The sequence below is a fragment of the Homo sapiens genome, chromosome 5, assembly GCF_000001405.40.
Source record: "Homo sapiens chromosome 5, GRCh38.p14 Primary Assembly".
NCBI lineage: Eukaryota > Metazoa > Chordata > Mammalia > Primates > Hominidae > Homo > Homo sapiens.
The window spans coordinates 56,533,511-56,554,538 of NC_000005.10; the positions used below are offsets into that span (position 1 = coordinate 56,533,511).

Below are 21,028 nucleotides of genomic sequence, written 5' to 3' on the forward strand. Positions count from 1 at the left end.
ATGGTAACCAAGGTTCTTTTTTCTGAAAATTTTGGAAAGTCTGGAATCCACACCTATTCCCTTCGAAGTGCTAGAATATGACTGGTTGACGAATAATTAGAATATAAAATGGCCAGAGAATAATGACAACAGAAGTTTAGCTACAAGCTTGGTGCAACAGTTGGAGAAAGGGGAGAAATTTGCTTTGACCTGGTACTTTGCAGACTCTCACTATGCTAAAGTCACACCTTGTCTTTCACCCCCTGCACTTATAGCCCCGCTCCCAAGCCCTTCCCCAGCCTCAAAAAATATATTCAACTCCTTGAGCCTACTCTCTGCTAGTTGGCTAAACTGATCAACTAAGTACCACTACATTTTAGTGTTGATGCCCAAAGGGTTCAAATGATAGCTTAGCATGCTGCAGGGCAAGAGCACAAGCCAGGATTTAGCAGAGCTCAGAGCTAGACCTTGACCTGTCACCATGCAGCTGGTAACTTTGGATAAGTCACCTGCTGGGGCACAATTTCTTCATATGTAACATTATATATAAGTCTAAGGACTTCAAGGTCATCCCCAAATCCAAGATTCTAGATTGTAGCATTAGGGTTTTCCATTGCACTGGCCAGTTTGCACTGGCCATGAAGGGATTAGCAAGATTGTCTCTAGAGTGATGAGGAAGGTCTCATAGAATAGGCGTATTCCCCTTCCCAAAGCCCTAGGCTAGGTAGTACAGTGCAAGCTGCCCTTGTTTCTAATCGAGCTCCCTCCTGCAGATGAGTCACTCAGCAGAAAAGGTGTGTCCAGGCGCCTGCCTGCCTCGGCTCATTAATGGAATTCCTTATATGGCACTTGTTTTTCTGACAGGCAATATGTTCTTGGAAATGAAGCTTAAGTCAGGTCTTCAGGTGACATTCAGAGAACATTTGCTTTGTTTTGTTTCACAAAATGTGGTCTCAAGGCTAACAGTCCTTTCACCAGGAAGTTTCCTCCTGGACATGTTCAGCTGCCACAGAAATAGTTCAGATTCAGGGCCAAAAGCAAGGGGCATAGTGTGCCCTACTCTCTCCCACAAATAATCCCATGTTCTCTGAAAAGAGGGCACCACGAAGGCAGAAGCCCAGACAACTGGAGCCCTGCTGTAGCCAGTGTCTCTGCCAGGGTGGTGTGGAGATGCAGAGTCCTGCACGTGGTCTTCCCTTCCTTCTCTCTCTTCTTATGGCACATGGGCTGCTGCAGTGCAGAAAGGCTTGGTGTGTCCATGCTGGCTGGACAAGGACAATGAGGGTATGGCCATATTCCCAGAGGGGAGTTTGGGTCAGCATGACCCTGTACAGTGAGGGTAGCTCACTCTGCTCACAGACTGAACACAGGACCTTCTGCCTGCGCCCCCACCCTCCATCTCTGGAGAATGCTGGCCTCTCTTAAGTCAAGACCGAGATGCCCCAGCCCCTGGCAATAGAAACTGTTCACCCTGCCTGCCTGAACCTGGAGTTTTCCAATACCATGCATGAGGGCTAGTTATGTGTCAGGGGCCATTTCATGCCTCACCGCATTGTCTCTGAGCCTCATGGTCACCCTGCAAGGTAGGTATTATTATCTTTCCTACTTTACCGATGAGAAGAATGGGGAGCATGACTTACCTATAGTCACCCAAACAGACAAGTGGCTGAGCTGGGACCAGAACTAGCTCTGGGAGGCTTTGGTACCCATGCTCTGGTTCTTTGAAGACTGGAGCCCTCCTAGAATAAATGAGTTTAAGGTTCAGCTATTAAGTTTGAAGAAAAGTCTAGGAAGGGAAATATATTTCTTTCCTATTGCTGCTGTAAGAAATTGCCACAAATTTAGTGGCTTTAAAAAACACAGATTTATTCTTTTAGAATTTTGGAGGCTGGAAGTTCGAAATAAATTTCAGTGGGCTAAAGTCAAGGTGCCAGCAGGGCTCATTCCTTCTGGAGGTTCTAGAGGAGAATCCATTTTCTTCCCTTTCTATCTACAGGCTGTCTGCATTCCTTAGTCATGTATCCAAAGGCCCTTTTGCCATATAAGGTAACATAGTTACAGGTTCTGGGGATTAGAGAATGGATACCTTTGGAAGGCATTTTTTCAGCCTCCCACAGGGGATTTCTCATTCACCTTGAGAAACATAAATAGTTGTTGAAAATGCATTTCAGTTACCTCCTTCACCTCTGCTCAGCCCTTTTCTCTTCCCCTTGGGTGGAAAGCAGGTCTGCAGAGACCCAGGGGTCCTGAGATGGTAGAAGGAGAAGACCCCACACAGAGGCGCTGGGCACATGCACCCAGGCCACTCCTTGCTCCTGTGCACTCTTTTCTGTGGGGGTGGAGGCAGGAGAGTGAGAGGTCAGCGGCCTAGGGGCTGATACATTAGCTTTCTCAACCTCCTTTCTCATATGAAGGAAGCCCCCATTTCCTCTAAACTGCTTCACTACGATGGCCAGAAAAAAGAGCACCTATTTGCTTTAAGTATGTATTTTGTGTCCCATTGCATTTGAAATATGTCCAGTTTCCTCCCATGGTCTTCACAAGGCCCTGCAAGATGAGCCTCCTGGCCACGTTTCCCGTCTCGACCCATGCCATTGCCTTCTTCCTCCCTATGTTCTAGCCACACAAGCATGGCTGACACAAGAGAATGCTCACAATTTCAGCAGAACCAGCCATTGTTTTTTTCTGGTACTGCTTGCTGATAAGACACGTGTGCAGTGGCTTAATGTGTCCACATATGTCAGAGTCTTGCTTTCCACAATGCTTAGACTGTCTTTGAAAACAGAAATGTTATCTAAGCAACCTAACCCCCTTATAGATTTTTTTAAAAGCCCACAACAAAAAAGCATTAAAGTAACTAAACCAATACCTTTAAGTCACTCAAGTTCTAGCTAGGGACTGTTAGAACGACTTCTTCCTTCAAAGCCTAATATATTTTGCAAAATTACTCCCTGTGTGGCAAGCAGGATGGTTAATATTATCCTTACTTTAGAGATGGCGAGACAGTCTCAGAAAAAGGAAGACAAACAACTTTTAAATAATAGTCCCAAGACTAGAGCCCAGTCTTTCTTTCTTTTCTTTTTTTTTTTTTTTGAGATGGAGTTTCGCTCTTGTTGCCTAGGCTGGAGTGCGATGGCGTGATCTCGGCTCACAGCAACCTCTGCCTCCCAGGTTCAAGCCATTCTCCTGCCTCAGCCTCCAGAGTAGATGGGATTACAGGCATGCGCCACCACACCCGGCTAATTTTGTATTTTTAGTAGAGACGGGATTTCTCCATGTTGGTTAGGCTGGTCTTGAACTCCGGTCCTCAGGTGATTCGCCTACCTCGGCCTCCCAAAGTGCTGGGATTACAGGCGTGAGCCACTGCGCCCGGCCGAGCCCAGTCTTTCTAAACCACCCCTCCTTCTGTGCTTTGCACCTTAGGGTACTTGAAGATAAAGGATAAGGAACACTGTGAAAAGACAAAACAACAGCGAGGTCTGCAAAATGATAAGCAACACAAATTGGATGCTGATAAAAAACTGGACACAATCTATAGATATATGATATATGATATATGATATACCACTATAGAGTTCAGCTTGGCGGGACCAGAGGGTGAGAGCTACTTCTGGGGAACCCTAGCCTACTTGGCTGCTTTCAGCCCGTATGTGCCCTGCACCCTTCATCCCTTTTCCTGCAATTTTTCTGTTTCTCCCTCCAACTCCACTCTGACTCAGACGTCAGGAGACAGCAGCTGAGGCCAGTGGGAGATGAGAAGGGGAGGAGGGGGCCAGAAACCATCTCTTCTCTGTGCCCCACCCACCCTCATGGCCCTTCTATATGTAGTTGATTAACTTTGCCCAGGTCATTCTTGGAATGCCAGAAGTTGGAGGGCAGGAAAAGAGGCATTTCTTCCAGAGTTTTCAATGGACGGGTCTTCCTAAAACATTTGCAGGGGCACCAGAATATAAAGTTTTAGGCTCAGGCCAGTAGTAAAGTGTTATGTATGCATGTTTTATTGCTTGTTTGCTTATTTCTAATGACCAGATCTTAGAGGAGAACATGGGCTCTGCTCTCTGACCAATGGGCTCTAACCCCCATACTATCTTGGCCAGGTCACAAACTTTTTGAGCCTTAATAGTCTCATTTGTACAACTGAAGTAATAAGAATACCCACCTTTCTGGGATTGTAAAGAGGATTAATTAAGATAATGTATGATGCCGAGTAGTTTCTCAATAAACTAGAGTTATCATTGACTTCACCGTGCCTGCCATCTTGAATACAGTCTTTGATCAACAGGTGAATGGATGATACATAAAATAAGGTTATATCATTGCATCCATGTTGCAGACATGAACCAGAGCTCTGGAATCCAAGAAAAGTTTTGGCATTCCACTCTCCCTTCTCAAGGATGACTTTAATCTTCAGAACCCATGTATGGATGCTCATTGTGGGTAAACGTGAATTAGCAGTAACAAATCACGAAGCTTCCAGGAGGATCCAGGAGTCCTTTTTCTGACCAGGCTACAACCATTAACAGGTCTCAAACAGCATTAAAAGAAATAGGCTGGAATAGAAAATACCAATAGTAAGGGTATTTTTTTAGCTTTTGTTTTTTTCATATGAAATTAAAATATAGTAGAATTTAATTTACTATAAATTTATAGTAAATTAAATTCAGTATGCTGTACTCATGTATACATATAAATATGCAAACATAAATACTTATATGTATTATTTTATTTATACTTATTTGTATTTATGTTTGTGTATTTATATGTATACATGTGTATAGCATACTGAATTTAATGTACTATATAGTTCTTACTTTGGGTTATAATCCAAAAACTTTCAAAGATGCTGTTCTTGGTATAGACATTGCCTTTGCCCAATTTTCATAGAACAATAATTACTGTGGATTGTCCACCTCGTGACTATTTTTGGACTGTGTGTTTTAACAGAGCAACACCAAGAGTGAATATGAGAATCTAGGGTTTGGGGAAGACTCATGTTCTCAAGCTGCCTGCCTAGGTCATCCCCTGTTTCTTCAGGGAGCAGAGTTAATGGTACATTTTAAGCAATGGAGCCATTGAGTGAGTGACACTTGGGAGTTTACATTGGTGGGGGTATGTCAGTGACTGCTTGTGGGTGCTTCCGCTGCCCATATGTATGGTGCAGGCTGGACTTCAGGGAAATATCACGGAACACAATGACCGCTTACATTCCTTGCCCTGCGAACCACATCTCCAGCTCGGTCTCTGCCATTTCTGAGCTGTGTGTTGAGCCCTTCCTCTATAGGAGGAAAGTCTTCAGGGTAGGAAAAGAACCCTGTGGAGGAGCACAGGAGCATGCAGCATCCTGTGACTACCCCTCCTGGCAGAAAAACAATGGACTCTCCCAATGACGCCAGTGGTGATTCCTCACAGCACCTCCACTCAGAGATAAGTATTCATACTGGTTTGAATTAGACAGAAAATACAGGAATAATAAATAATGCTCATCTTTCAGGGACCATAAAAAAGGAGTAATTAATGTGAAATTCAGAGCCATTTGATGATGAGAAAGGATGAAGGCAGCCTTCCTGGCGAGACGATGTGGAAAGAGCAATGGACTGGGAGCCAGAAGGCCTGGTGTGCAGGAGCAAGTCTACCACTAACCAACTGATCTCCTGGACACACCATAGCCTCTCTAGGCTTCAGTGTCCTCATCTGTGAAATGAAGGAGTCAGTATAGGTCATGGGGTGGAGAAGGAAGAGGGTGTGGCCAGATAATTATTTAAGCCAAATAACTGTTCATTGAAAAATTGACCAGAAGATACAAAAACCCATCAAAATGAGGCAACTCTGAGGCAAAATGGGGCCCCAAAGTCTGGGGCCCCACTTTGATTTCTCCCATGACAGGTAGAATCCTCAGGTGGCCCCTAAGAACCCCAGCCCCACTGTGTACCTCCTTCCTCTCATTTATTCAAACACTAATCTAAGTACTGCTATGGGGGAATTTTGGAGGTGTATTTAGAAGTCCAAATCCATTGGGCTTAAGATGGGGATATTTTCCAGGTGGGTCTGACCTGATTATACGAATCCTTTTACAGTAGAGAGTTTACTCTGGCTGATGACCAAACAGAAAGCCAGAGATTGGAAGCACAAGAAGGATTTGACACATCATTGATGGCTTGAAGATCTAGGGGCCCAAGTGGCAAGGAAAGTGGCAGTTTCGAGTAGCTGAGAGCAGCCTCCACTCCACGGCAGCCAGCCAGAACAAGGACTTCAGTCCTATGGATGTAACAAGAAGAAACTTAGAAGTCAGCTTTTCCCCAGAGCCTCTAGGCAAGAACTCAGCCTTGTGAGACCCTGAGCAGAGAATTCAGCCACGCTGTGCCAGACTTCTGACCTACAGGACTGTGAGATACTAAATGGAGGCAGTTTTAAGCTGCTAAATTTATGATAATATGTTTCACAGCAACAGAATATCAATACACTCCCCACATCGCATGGTGGCTGGCAAGGACCTCCACAAAATGCCAACCTCTGAGGATCCCCATAAAGACACCTGAATTAGATTGTCTCTGCCATCTTTCATGGCTGCAAGTTTCTACATTCCCCCCAACATTTCATGTCGTTCTGAGAATAGCTTGATGGAAACCATATTTGAAGCTGTGAGCTGTAGAAAGTCTCCACTTCTTGTTTGTTTTTTTTGTCTAGTGACTTGTGGGCCATCAGAAAGAAGTGTGAATTGCTAAGTAATAATTGTATAACATGGAACAGGGTAATAAACATTTTTCAGGGTTTGGTTGGTCCGAGAATATGGAAAATGTATTGGTAGTCAGTAGAACCAAGTTACATGTCACCCTTGGGTAGGCAGCTGACTGGATGAGGCAGTTTACCGCCTAACTAAAGCTCTAATCTCAGAATGTCAGAGTCTCCTTTGTTCTGGCCACCCCAAGATGAAATTACAGCCAAGCATTATGTTCAGAGAATAGTCAGCCCACCTAGGCCACTTACACCAAGCCAAGAATGAGAAGAATTTGGCCAAGGAAGCTGGTGGAGTCCATCTTTATCCATTGTGTTGTTCTCTTTGAGTGTCCTCTGATGCAAAGGAGGAAATTCATGGTGACTTTAAATGTCACCAGTGTTTCAATGAAAACAGGAATATTGCCTATGGAAACACTTCCTGACTCAGAAAAATCGTTACGACCTCCAAGACCCTAATTATCCCAGGCGGGTCCCAACACTCCCTTGGTGGAACTACTTCACAGTAGGGAAAGAGAGCATAATAGTCAGAAACTTGGATCTGATTCTTATCCCTGCCACTCACTAGCTGTATGCCTTAGGTAAGTTGCACAAATTCTTTGAGCCTCAGTTTCCTCATCCACAGGGATGACTAAGAATGCCTTCCTAAATAGGAATAATAGTGCTCACTTCATAGAGATCTAGTGAAAATTGCCTAAGATCACATGCATAAAAGATCTCATACAGTATTCAATAAATGTCAATCATAGTAGTAGAAGTTATATTTTTATCATATTTGTCCTTTAACAGTTTCCGTATTGGAAACAGTTCTTCCATTCTAGGGGAAATTTATCATTCTGCCTCTGACCTGGTCTTCATTCCTGAAGAATTTATGGAGTTCCTACTGAGATAGCCAGGGTTCTCCTGGTAATCAAAATATTATAAATGACCTATAAGAAATAACCCTTTTTCTCTAGGAGCTCATATTTTTATATTAAAAAGATATGCAGATTATATAAGCAAAATGGAATAAGTTAAAGTATCAACCACAAATTGCTGCAACAATCTTTGGTATCATTTATCATCATCATAATTATTATTATTACTATGAGTAGCTGAAGAATAACCACAGGATTCAGTGTTTAATATGCATTCTTAGGCCAGGTGCAGTGAATCACGCCTGCAATCCCAGCACTTTGGAAGGTCAAGGCCGGAGGATCACTTGAAGCCCGGAGATTGAGATCAGCCTGGGCAACAAAGTGAGACCCTATCTCTACAAAATATTAGCCAGGTGTGGTGGCATGTGCTTGTAGTCCCTGCCTCTGGGGAGGCTGAGATGGGAGAATTGCCTGAGCCCGGGAGGTCAAGGCTGCAGTGAACTGTGATCAAGCCACTGTTCTCCAGCCTAGGTGACAGAGAGAGACCCTGTCTCTTAAAAAAATGCATTCTTGGCCAGGTGCAGTGGCTCACACCTGTAATCCCAGAACTTTGGGAGGCTGAGGTGGGAGGATCACCTGAGGTCAGGAGTTCAAAACCAGCCTGGCCAACATGGTGAAACCCCGTCTCTACTAAAAGTACAAAAAAATTAGCTCGGTGTGGTGGTGGGCACCTGTAATCCCAGCTACTCAGGAGGCTGAGGCAGGAGAATTGCTTGAACCCAGGAGGCTGAGGTTGCAGTGAGCCAAGATCACACCAATACACTCCAGCCTGGGCAACAAGAGCGAGACTCCATCTCAAAAAAAATGCATTTTTAGACTTTAGAATAAGCAAAGTTCAATGTGAACTTATAGGTTGGGAAAGGTCCTATGTGGGGTGGGCAGGCAGCAATGGGACTGAAGCCATGGAGGGGGTGGGTGGAATTCACTAGATGCATGGAAGGACAGCTCAGCAGGATACCTGAAGTTGAGGCTGACTAAAGTGTCGTCAGGATTTAAAGGTGTGACATGTTAGGAACTGAAAGTTTGTGTTAGAACACTGCAGGTGAGAAGCTTCTATCAGTAAAGAAGACGCTATTTTAGCAAGCTTTGAACATCACACTTGAGTGATGGAGACTTGGCACTCAAACAGCTAATAAGAAGTCATGTAGATTGTTTAAGAAATGGAGGGCATGTGGAGATTGGCACTTGAGGGCTAATCATGGGTAATTTGCCCACCTCTTTTGAGTCTCAGTTTCCTCATCCACGTGGGCAGTGGTGTGTAGGCTGGGTGGCCCAGTGGGGAGACTGGAGGAGACAGGGAGGTCAGTGCAGAGGCTGCTCTACAATGCTTCTGACAGAGGTGAAGAGATTCTCTAGGGAAGTGCTTCTTAAACTGCAGTGTGCACAAAAATCCCCTGAGACCTTGCTCAAATGCAGATCCTGATTGAGTCTCTGCCAGGACTATCTCCCAGGTGATGCTGATGCTAGTGATCAGGGACTACACTTGAGTAACAAGGACCAAGACTAAGAGTTACAGCAGAAATGGAGAGACAGAGATGCATGCATCAAAGGAAGACCTGGTAGAAGCTAGCCTTTGATGAAGTACTGAGACATCCTGCAACGTGGATGAAGGTGAACCTCCAAAACATATGCTCAGTGAAAGAAGCGAGGCACAAAAGAACACATAGCGTATGGTTCTGCTTTTTTTTTTTTTTTTTTTTTTTGAGACGGAGTCTCGCTCTGTCGCCCAGGCTGGAGTGCAGTGGCGGGATCTCGGCTCACTGCAAGCTCCGCCTCCCGGGTTCACGCCATTCTCCTGCCTCAGCCTCCCAAGTAGCTGGGACTACAGGCGCCCGCCACTACGCCCGGCTAATTTTTTGTATTTTTAGTAGAGACGGGGTTTCACCGTTTTAGCCGGGATGGTCTCGATCTCCTGACCTCGTGATCCGCCCGCCTTGGCCTCCCAGGTTCTGCTTATATGAAATGTCCAGAAAAGGCAAAAAGCAAAAATATTGGGCCAGTAAGCAGATGAGTGGTTGCTTAGGATAGAGAGTGGAAAAAGAAGTGATTGTGTGTGGGCATGAGGCTTTTTAGGGGGTGAGAAAAATGTTCTGAAATTAGATTATGGGGATTGTTATACAATTTTATAAACATACAAAAAATAGTTGAATTGTATACTTACAGTAAGTTAATTTTATGGTAAATAAAGTTGTTAATTTTAAAAAAAAGATTCAATACAAGTTTGTGTTTGAAACATAGGAGATAACAGAAAGGAAACAATACAAGAAGAAATTCATCTGTTAAGCCTGTTCCATGGACAGGCTAGCTTTTGTTCTCCCTTGCTTCCTCCTCTTGAAAACAGCGAGTCTGATGGACTGGGATCTGAGCTCAGAGCTAACCTAGGTATTTTAGACACTTCAGTAGTTAGAGAAATTCCTTTTAGTGATCCCAAATCACACCTTGGGTATAACTACCTCCACTGCAGGACTGGTCAGGTTAGCAACCTGGAAAGGCATGAGGGGAAAAGAATGAATCATCAGAAAATATATAGTGTAATCATCTGAAAAGGTGACTCACGCATGAATTTTTACATGCCTATTCTTTACTCAGACCCCAGTAATATCTCTTACATTGAAAAACTATACGTCCTCAGGTTTCCAAGCACAAAATTGTGTTCAGACATTGCATTGCTTTTACCACAATCTGCATACAGCACCAGAGTCTGGAGATTCTGGGTCAGTGTGATCCCAGGACCAGTAACATCAGCATCATCTGAGGACTTGGTAGAAATACAGACTCTTACGCTCCACCCTAGGATTACAGAATCAGAAACTGGGTGTGGGGCCCAGAAGTCTGTTTTAACAAGCCCTCCAGGTAATTATTTGCATGTTAACATTTGAGAACTACTACTGTAGGTCATGATATGTGCGTGCACACACACACACACACACACACACCAGCCTCACTTGGGAAATGATGCTTATTCCAAGACAAGAGCTACTGTCTTGTAAGGGCAGAAGTTATGATGGCAAATATACGGCAGGAATGCAACCACTTCCATCTTCCCTATACATGCCTGTCACCACTAATCCATCACTGCAATCTTTCATAATGAGTCAGGGTAGCAGTGCCTTTGGCCATCTAGCAGGAGAAAACCTCACCAGGTGTCCTGCACTAACATGGAGTTGGGTGGGGAAAGGCTGAAGTAGATTTAGAAATTGCAATGTGGAGAATTTGGCAGAAAGTGAGAGCCTGATATAGATAGTGTTACTAATTCCCCACGGTCTTGGGTGGCCCATAGGAGATTAAGAATTTCCTATTATCCAAGCTGGGGAACATGGGCTGAAAGATTGGTAGATCCAACAAGGCCTGGAGTCCAAACAAATAAACTCACAAAGTGCCAGAATCTCAAATCCAGAATTGAGGGGCAGAATGAAACTGTCAGATGCGAACATGAGGTCCCAAAGGCCAGGTGGAATCAGCCACATCTGGTGGAAACTGATGCAAGTTATCCAGTGACAAGGTAGGACAAGGGACATCCTGGAAGAGGTCACAGAAGATCCACGGGACAGCTCACACCAAAGACCCCCCTCCCAGCTTCCTTGTTCAAGAAGAGTAAGCTTTCCCCTCCCAGAAGCCATTTCGGGGAGGAGAAGGTAGAAAGGATTTTCTTTGAGAACACAGATATAGCCCTGATATTGAAATACTTAACTGAATACTTACCCCAAAGAGGCAGTTATAAACTGGAAGAGACTGGGTTATCTGTGAAACTGTGAGGTAGATAGGAATTTTAGATCTGTTTCAGAGAATAAAGTTAAAATTTGGGGGGCAAACATCTGATTTGTAACTGTTCATAAAGCTACCTATCAAAATGTTATGGATTTCAGGTTTTTTTTTTTTTTGTCTTGACATTAGTTTCTCCTGGTCCAGCTAAAACAAGCAGGGCGTGGGAGGCAGATGCAAAGGTCGGCATTGGCCTCAGAGGGTTGACCAGCTCCAGGTTTCAACACGAGGTGCCCCTTGTCCTATTTCAGAATGCTTCCCCTTCAGCCTAAAAGGTTTCAACAGTTAGTGCTTCCCCTTCAGCCTAAAAGGTTTCGACAGTTAGTGCCATTTGGTCCAGTCACATAATCACAGCTGGTAATTGGAGAAGGTGAACATGTGCTTCCAACATTCACTTTTCGTAGACTCATTAGGTCAAAGATCATCTGAGCAAACCCTCTCATTTTACAGATGAGGAAACCAAGGTCAAAGAAGCTAAACTAAGTTACTCGCGAGCTGTAGCTGGAAAAAAGCTGGAACCAGAATCCTAATTGCTCCAAGTCCAAATTCACAGCTCTTTCTAGCACATCAAGCTGCTCATAAACCAGAAATGATCCGTTCCACACACTGTAATCATAAACCAAAACCCAAAGATTCCAAGTAGTCTCTTTCTTGAAAGAAACCATTGGTGTTTGCTTTACTTCTTCTTCCTACATGTGTTTTGAGAGATGTTGTGAATCTCCTGATGAAAAGCTGTTCTGAGAGAAGCTGAGACAAAGCCTCAGTGATCTATGGCTGCCAAAGTCAGCCCCTCTGCAGCTGTACCAGGACAGAGGAGGCGGGGAGGCAGCCAAGCTGTCTTCAGTGCTGTATTCAGAGGTGCGAGCGCCTGGAATTCTGCAATCCAAAAGGGCCTTCTGGGGGTCAGCTGCCTTCTTAGTGTCTTTGAGGGATCACCCTTTGAAGAATCATCCTTCGACTGAAGGAGGACTTTGCACATGTCATGCAGTGTGAGTTTCAAAGACTGCCAGAATCCAAAGTCTCGATCAATCCATCAGGATGGGGACAACTTTTAGACAGGATCTGGTGATAATGTGGTGCATATCTTCTTTCTTCCATGACCTCAGAAATTTTGTTTTTAATTTGTGCTGGGAAGAAAAATGGAAATCAGAGCAATCACCTGGATAATTTTCTCCAAAAACACACATTTGCTTTAGTTTCCTGGAATGACTATTCATGAATGCGTTCAGATGCAAGTGTTATTTATCTGTTAGCCCCATAAATCTCATGGGGAGCTGTGCTTGGCTAAGGGTATCGGGTTGGAAGCCTAATTGCAACTCTTATCCAAAGTGACCAGAACCTTCCCAGTTACCCAGAATAAAGGACCCCCAGTTCCTTCTTTGTGTGTGTGTGTGTGTGTGTGTGTGTGTGTGTGTGTGTGTGTGAGAGAGAGAGAGAGAGAGAGAGAGAGTGCCATGTCCTTAAGTTGCATTTTCAGTATTGATTTTATTGTGGTCTGCTAATGTTTATATGGCTTAAAAAATGTTCTCTCCATGGATAAGGTCTCCACCTCTCAGGCCACAATAATACCTCGCAGAATGGACAAGCATGGATAATTTTCTAGTTTAACTCCAGGGCCATGTGCATGCCTCCTATAGGCCCTAACATGAGGGGGGCAAATAAATTCAATAAAGTTTCATCAAGTCTTACTTGTTTTCTGCTATGAACGATTTAATATTATAATTATTTTTAGCATAGAGGAAATGTGTATCTACCTTGGGGATAAATGATGATTCTGAAGACATCTTTGCTGTCAATTAACATGTTTCAGCTTCCCTAGAACTTGAGGAGAGAGGTTGGACAATATTATATTTGGCTAATGGCAAAGTCTGCAGACACTTCAACAAGAAAGTGAATGGTAATATCGCCTTGCTGATGCTTGCCATTTTCATTTCTCATTCTCATATTGGTCTGAATAAAACTGTGAAAACTTTCCCTCCTTTTTCTAAATAGTCCTCTTTTATTTCTCTAGAAACAAGAAAAAATAAAACACCACATACACGTATCTCACCCCTCTTCCCTTTGCCTCTCCTACTGCCTGGGCCTTCACTAGACCCATTAGTGCTGGTGGCCAAGTTGTCCTCACTCTCATATGATTTCAAACCCTTACGTTTGAGAAGGTTGATCACAGCGGGAGGTCACAGGAAGGCAAGCAGTCTGCATTGGTTCTAGAGGGCAAAATTCCTAGATAATAGTTCCTTCCTCTGCTCACCTGGGTTTTCCTTCCTTACACTGTGGAAACCAAGGTGCTGGTGAGCCTTGTGAAGCAGCTATTAGGTCTCAGCCATTAGCAGATGGGCCTCTTGGCATATTCACGCCTGGGTGAGCTGAGTCCTTGGGACAGATAGTACCACGATGGAGAGAAGAGAGAAGACACACCACCTGAGGATATTAGGACCAAAGCCCCCATGGGGAAGGCTTGCACACCACCATCTGCACCAGAAGCAAGTAAGCAGGTGCATTTTATAGAAAGAGTAACATTTGTTTTCGTGGAGGAAGTTATTATTTGTATGCTTAAAGCTTTTTAAAAATATCTGCTTTGAATAATCATTCACATGAAAACCACACACTAATGGAATTTTAGGGTTGGAAAAGATCTCAGCTCTCATCTAATTGAGCCCTTGCATTTTAATGATAAGGAAAACAAAGTCCAGAAAGTTTTCCCCAGGCTCTCGGAGTAGAGAAGCCACGGTTAGAGCTAACTGAACCCAGCAAGACAGTTCTTTAAGAAGAATGACAACAACAAAAAATCCACATTATTTAATTATTAGCAAAAAAAATACTTCTTGAGAGAGACAGATAGAAATACAGAGACAGAGACAGAGAAAGGTGGTATAGAGCATGCAATAGGATAATATAGTGGCTAAAGTACAGGCTTTAGGACAAGCAGACCTGACTTCAAGGCTCAGCTCTACCTCCTATTAACCATATGCCCTTGGTTTAGACCACTCTGGCCCTCAGTTTCCTCATCTGTAGACATTTGGATGATAATAATAGAGCAGACAGTGATCTAACTTCTCCTTCCATATTTGTAACAGAACTCTGATCCTAGTGACAAGGATGAGGGGACAGATTACCTGGCCTATGGTCCTTAAGGCAGCCTAAGGAAATTTAGACATATATTAGTACACATTCCCTATAAATACTTTTAATTGATAGCCCTGACTAGATAGGGGCTTGAAAATGTTTTCCCTCTGGCTCTAATTGACTTTTTTCAAAACCTTATTCCTCTGTATGCCTCAGGTTGGCCATGAACCTTGATTGGTCTGGAAGTCAACCATGTTGGTTCCTTTCTTCTTGTGGTGGCTGCTTTGGGCATGGGCATGTGAGGCAATTGTGTGTACTGTTTTAGGGGAGTAAGGGACTTCTAGGAAAGATTTATAACAAGAGGCATATCAGGGAAGAGACTGGATGTTGCCCCTTGTGGATGTGATTTAGCAGCCAGCTTGAGGTCATGATGGGAGCTTGGTTAAGAACCACCTACCATTTTGATGATGGCAGAGCAAAAATATAGAAATATCAGATCCTGATGCCACTGAATTGGGCACCCCTGTAGCCACTTTACTATGGAATGTCTCATAATGTAAGGCAATAAACTTATTTGCTATGTAAGCCAATCTTAAGCTACTTATAGCTGAATGCATCCAAAGTGGTACAGTAGTACTTACTATGTAAGGTTATTGTGAATAGTAAATGATAAATGCAGTAAGAGAAATAGTACACAATCAAGCATAAAGAAACTCTTCAATAAACAGTAGTTGTCAATAGTGTTGCAGTTGTTATTATTATAGGAGAATATATGCCAAAAAAATCACATATCCTATTCTTTAGTGACAAAAACTTCTTAACAATGTCTTGATAGCCTTATGTCAATTTTTTAAAATAGAAGTAAAATACTATACACATTGTTTTTCAATTCCAAGATGTTTCCTAATAGAAATGTTGATGCCCATGGTAACTTGCCAAGCCAGTTGGAAATTACCTCTAATTCCCGAGAGTGTGTATCACTTAATAATCTTCCCAAGATTTGAAAATGTTGTCTTCCAACTGAAAACATTTGGATTTTCAAAATTCTTCTTTTAAATGTAGAAAAAAGTGCTAAGAAATGTTAAAGGACATAACCAACATAGACTGCCCTAAAGCACATTAAGGGCCAGTTCCTAAGAGAGACAGGGCCTGACCACCTCAATACAGCATTTTTGTTGGAACTAAATTTTACAGTATCTGCAGAGGCAGAGTGGCATTCACTGTATGGGACAGTGGCAAACACTTGATCTGTTTCCAAGGGCATGTAACCCTAAGTCAAATGACCATTAGGACTTAGTTTGCAGTTCCGGTCTCTAAGGACCGTGCACTATTCCCTGTGGTAACCAAGTGAACCACAGAAATTCAACAAAGTTCAGGTGATCCAAGAGGAAATCACCAAGCAGAGATGAAAAGAAAGGCCAATTGTCAGCTAAAGTTTCCTCCAGAAATTATGGACAGAGTGTTTCTGACTGATGAACAAGATTCAAAAATGTGAGGATTCAGGAAAATTTTTACAGATGTTTTTCTTCCCCTGGAATTTGTAGTAACTATTCCCTCTGAGCTCTTTGGGCCACAGAAGCATAGAATTACTTGTACATTGAAAGGAGTAAGGGAAATGATTAAAAATTTCCCAGGAGTTCAAACCTGTCCAGAAACTTCCTGTTTCTAACATGTGGTCTGTGAAGCACTTCCTGGTACTTTAACAGGGATGGGATGGGAGCGAAATCAGCCATTTGTGTAGCAATGTGGTACAGTGTGACTTTGGAGTGAAGCCAAAGGTTCTCACCCCAGCTACACTTTACAATCATATAAGAAGTTTAGGTAAAATGCTGACACCAGGCTACCTAGGCTACCAATTAAATCAGAATCTCTGGGATTGGGTCTAAGCATTATGTAAATAGGTAGATATTTGTCTGTGTATATATGAGTTTTCTAAGCTTTCCAGCTGAGTCTAGGGGTGAGAACTTACTGAATTAGGTCTAATATTCACTAGTGGCTTCCCAGCTTCTAAGCTATACAACCATGGACACGATGTTTTCTCTCTATGCCTCAGTTTCCATGTCTGCAGACTGGGTATTACAATCGCAAGACAGATTAAATGATATGATGCATATAAAGAAACAAGCCTAGAACTCACTAGCTCATGTCAAGTCCAAACCCTCTGCATGGGACTGTTCACTCCATTCCCCTGCACAGTGAGGTTTACAGTGACAGAAAGAACTGGCAGGTGTAGCGGAGGGCTGGGAAGTTCATTAGAAAGAGAAGGTGCCACTTTCTCTTATCTTGCCTGTCAACTGAACTTGTACATTCCTGGAAGAAAGCAAGTGTCCTGAAATAGCCACTTAAAATGAGTCTGTTAGAGTGGATTCCACATTAAGGGGGGGAAAAAAAGTACTTCTCCATCTCTTCTCCCTGTTGGCAGGCATACAGGAAGATGATGAAAGGGCTACCACACCCTGCTGTGGACACTGGCCAACCTGTCGCAAATGTCCACAGGGAGTAAACAACAATAGTATTGATCCCTAACATGAAAGATACAGAAAAACAAGGACCAATGTTCATCTGACATTACCTGTCAACAGGTCAGTCTTTCCATGAGATTATAAATTTGTATGTCTGCCTCCGTCAGTATACTGTAGGCTGCCTGGGAGGCAAGGACACACTTCTTAACAATAGCCCTTTTAGTAAATGCTTTCCAAGTACCAAGCATATATGTATTTATCTCATTTAATATTCACGACGTTTAAGGAAGGCACTGCTATTCCCCTCACTGTGAAGAGATGACACCTAAGGCTTAGGAACATAAGTAACTTGCCCAAGTCCACATAGACCATGAGAATGGTCAGTTTTGAACCCAGGTTTGTGTCTGGCTGTAAAGATTTTATATCTCAGGCCTTAAAAAGAAAAACCTGGCACCACCTGTTTCCAAATAACCCATGGAAATAAAAAAAATTTTAAAAATCGCCCAAAAAGTTAAAAAAAAAAGAAAAGAAAAATTAACATTAGAATGGCGCAAAAGCAATACACGTTAAGTAAAAACTACTTTGAGTACTCATACAACAATTCTGTTTTTCACTTTCAGTATGGTATTCAATAAATTACCCGACGTATTCAATGCCTTATTGTAAAAAAAAAAAAGAAAGAAAGAAAAGAAAAAAGAAAAACCTGGTGTGTAGTATGCGCCAATATTTGATGAATGAAGGAAGTTGGGTTTTTTTTTTTTTTTCAGAAGAAAAGCTAAAGAACTGAAAGTCAGCATCTATACTACCCTTATAATCCACACTAGTCCTTACTGATTTCTTCTGAGCCACCTCTGGAATAAATCTAATTGAGGAGCAGCAGGGTCTCCCCAAGGTTACTATACATTAAAAACAAAATCAACCTGAAAAAGCCAGACATTATGATTTACAATTTTATGTAAAACATGAAGGTAAAACTTACACGTGCACCTGTCTTATCGCCCCAACTCAACTGTAAGCCCCTGAGAATAGAGTCATACATAATACTTCTTGCACTGTCCCACAAGCCTCAGCAGAAATATGTGTCATCCCTGGGAAGGGTTCGAGGCCTGGTTAATATCCTGCTGTGAACTTGGCCTTCCCTCAACTTTTTATCCATGTGGAATCACATTAGATTCATCATTCAGGGCAGAAAAGAAAAGGAAAAGAAGTCACAAAATGACAGCAAGAGGCATGACCATGAAAATGTAGAGCAGCCCTCCCAGCCTCTGAGCTAGGTGATAGATATTTGTATTGATTCGACATCTAAATGTCCAGTCACTTTAGCACACCTAGAAAAACCCCTAGCAGATCCTCCACCTTCTTTATTGCTGCTCCTGCAATTCCTCTGTGAGGTTAAGTCAGTTCTACAATAGTGAAAGGGCTGGGAAGAGGGAGGAAGCAGGCTACAATCCACCAATACAGACAAACTTGAAATCATGGGTTGAAGAAAATTTACACTTGAAAAATCCTTGGAAATGATGCAGTCAAGCCTCCTGATTTCACAGGCAAGTGAACGAAGAGAGCAAGTCAAGAATTGATTGGCTCATGGTTACACGATCAACTAGTGCCAGGGCGAGAACTTGAGCCCTGGTTCCTGGCTCCCAGTCCTCTGCTCTGTTGACTTACCTAGGCTGTCCCTTTACGAAGTGAGTAAGGGAAGAGACTACACACTAATGTGCAGTGCTGGGAAGAGTCAAGATGCTGACCAAGGGCGGGGTGGTAAGCACAGTGTAGACCCGGAAGCCTAGTGCAGGCTTGTCAAGGAAGCTCCACAAGTTGGTCCAGTCTGACTCTCTTAGGGCCATGATTTTCCCCGCACATGGAAAGTCAGGTCAAAGGCCATTCAACTGGTCACTGAAATTTCAAACAGGTGGCTGTGATTACATGACCTTGGCTTTATTAGCAACTCTAAGGATGCAGTAAGCTACCAAGAAAACCTAAGAATCAAATTTTGATAAATTAGAGCCCTCCCATTTTCATATAAACAAATCTAGAGTGAAATTAATAGTTTTCAAATTCCAGCCTTCTCATATTAATCAGAAAAAGACATTTATGATGCCAACACACATATAATTAGTCTTCTTTACAGCTTGATAGCAAGAAAAGAAAAAAAGAGGACCATGAGTTTCATACGAGTTACTCATGTGAAAATCTGAAATTAATAACTTCATGGACCTGAAAAAGCAAGAGCTGTATAGATTATTCAGAAGAAAAGAAAGATTTCTTTCCTTAAGCTTCAAATACTTGAATCTTTTCATTATGAAGTTCTGTCCAATTTAAATCTATTTCAGATTGTCCCAGAATAGCCTTCCTTGGTAACCTGTGCCAATCCTTTGTGAGTCTTACTCTAAAAAATGTCCTTCTATTAGCTAACATATTTCTTAAGCTAGTTCATGGCCAACATTCCCCTCTCTTGAGAATTGGACTAATAGTAGGTCCTCACTCTCCTTAATGGTGTTTTTTTCTCAGGAGTGTGGTGACTTGAACCATCAGCCTTCTGGTGAACTGGGCCTGGAGCACCTGCAAGCCAAGCCTACAGCCACAGAGTTGGCTGGCACAAGCTGCTGCTGTGACTGTGGCAGGCTGCTGTGACTTGGGATGGGGATCTTAGAACCTCCAAGGTGAAGCCATTGTCAGTACCTGCCTGATCTTGAAAGATCTTGGCCAGCCACATGTTCTCCTGTTTTTCCAGCAAGGTCAGCTTTCATGAATGATCTTGTAATTTTGTTTGTCTTCTGGCACCACAGCTGTCAAACTTTGCAGCATGAATCCATTCATGTTGCAAGATCCACAACACACCCAGTAAAGCTGGCATTGACCTTGAATCAATCTTCACTTGTAAACTTCATGTCTTGATATCCAATTACAGCATACTCACCCATCAAATCTTTCTGGGGTCCACTCAGAATCATGCAGTGAAAAGTCAGTTTGTGCAAATCATGTTCTCCTTCCACAGTGGTGTCCTTTGGTGGATAAGAAAGAGCTATATCTTGAATGGAAGGAGGTGGTTCTTTTAGCTAATGGAATTTTCATAACTTCAAGAGAAGTCTGATTATTTTGGATCTGAGACTAAACTCTTTAAATAGTAGACTTTAAGTTCTTGCAGAAGCTTGTACCTATGTTCATTTTTGATAAGTACTTTTGTTGTATGGTGAATCTCAGCCATGATAGATGACCTTCCTTGTGTTTTTCTTCCCCAGATTACATCAATGTTAGGCACTTACTATGTGTGAGGCCTTTTGCTTAGAGTTTTGAAAACAAGAGTATATCCTTTTGGATCACATTGTTCATCTTTATTAGTGCTCAGTTTTTAATGCTTTGTCCCTCAAAGGGACAAAGAACACAGGTGGGGAAGAGTGGGGCTTGAAAAGGGAGGCAGTGCAGGATGACCCTAAAGACATCATTCTCAAAGGAGAAGCTGTAAACCACAATGTCTTCATTCCTCCCTAGAATAGCCCATGCTTTTATTGTCCTGTTTTGATTCTAGTAATTTTGCCCTGTTGCATCTCAGAAATAGGGAGTTTCATAGATAAAGCAGCACTGTCTTTAATTGCCAGAAGTCCATTCTCTTTCAAGTTTCAAAAGAGTGCCTTGGTGAAGTTGTCTGTGTACACACTGTCAGAAGCCATCAGATTTTCAGATTTGGTTCTGTCGCCAGGTATCCCAGAGTGTGCTCTTTTCTCCAACTGACATTTTGAGTATCAAAGGCTGATTTTTGTTCAATGACCCTGTTGAAACCATTGACACTGAGCCCCTTCTATGCACCCTGAAAGTATTCTTAGCTGCCTCTACATTGCATAGAAATAAATGTTGGTGGTTTTGCAGTCCTATTCAAACTGCCATTGACCACATGATGTCTTGTCTTGTCATTTAGTTTTGGCATGGCTATCCTCCATCTCCAACTAGATTCAGGAGATGAATTCACCTTTCTAACTCCAGAGAAGATAGTCTAGTTCTTCTGCCTATTTTAACACTTGGTCCCAGCTCAGAGCTCAGGTTTTTCTTGAAGGTCAAGATGCAGTTAAACAAAGAGTCTTCCAGAATTGGGTTGCTTTGTTCTCTCAAAAATCA

General features: G+C 42.7%; 1 long non-coding RNA gene across 1 annotated transcript in view, besides 2 other annotated features; it reads right to left on the minus strand.

The window, feature by feature from the left end:
* Positions 1-21,028, minus strand: part of C5orf67 (chromosome 5 putative open reading frame 67) — a 94,975-nt gene that overhangs the window by 22,229 nt on the left and 51,718 nt on the right. The window contains exon 3 of the long non-coding RNA NR_161255.1: positions 1,620-1,718. This is a non-coding gene — a long non-coding RNA (chromosome 5 putative open reading frame 67). The remainder of the gene's footprint in view (positions 1-1,619; positions 1,719-21,028) is intronic.
* Positions 691-1,243: an enhancer, noted in NCBI's record as "H3K27ac-H3K4me1 hESC enhancer chr5:55830028-55830580 (GRCh37/hg19 assembly coordinates)". NCBI's record gives its function as "activates a minimal SCP1, AML or CMV promoter by ChIP-STARR-seq in naive H9 embryonic stem cells {active_cell/tissue: H9 hESC(naive)}" and the evidence as "EXISTENCE:reporter gene assay evidence [ECO:0000049][PMID:30033119]".
* Positions 11,578-11,778: a silencer, noted in NCBI's record as "peak5248 fragment used in MPRA reporter construct". NCBI's record gives its function as "represses an SCP1 promoter by STARR-seq MPRAs in K562 erythroleukemia cells {active_cell/tissue: K562}" and the evidence as "EXISTENCE:reporter gene assay evidence [ECO:0000049][PMID:32103011]".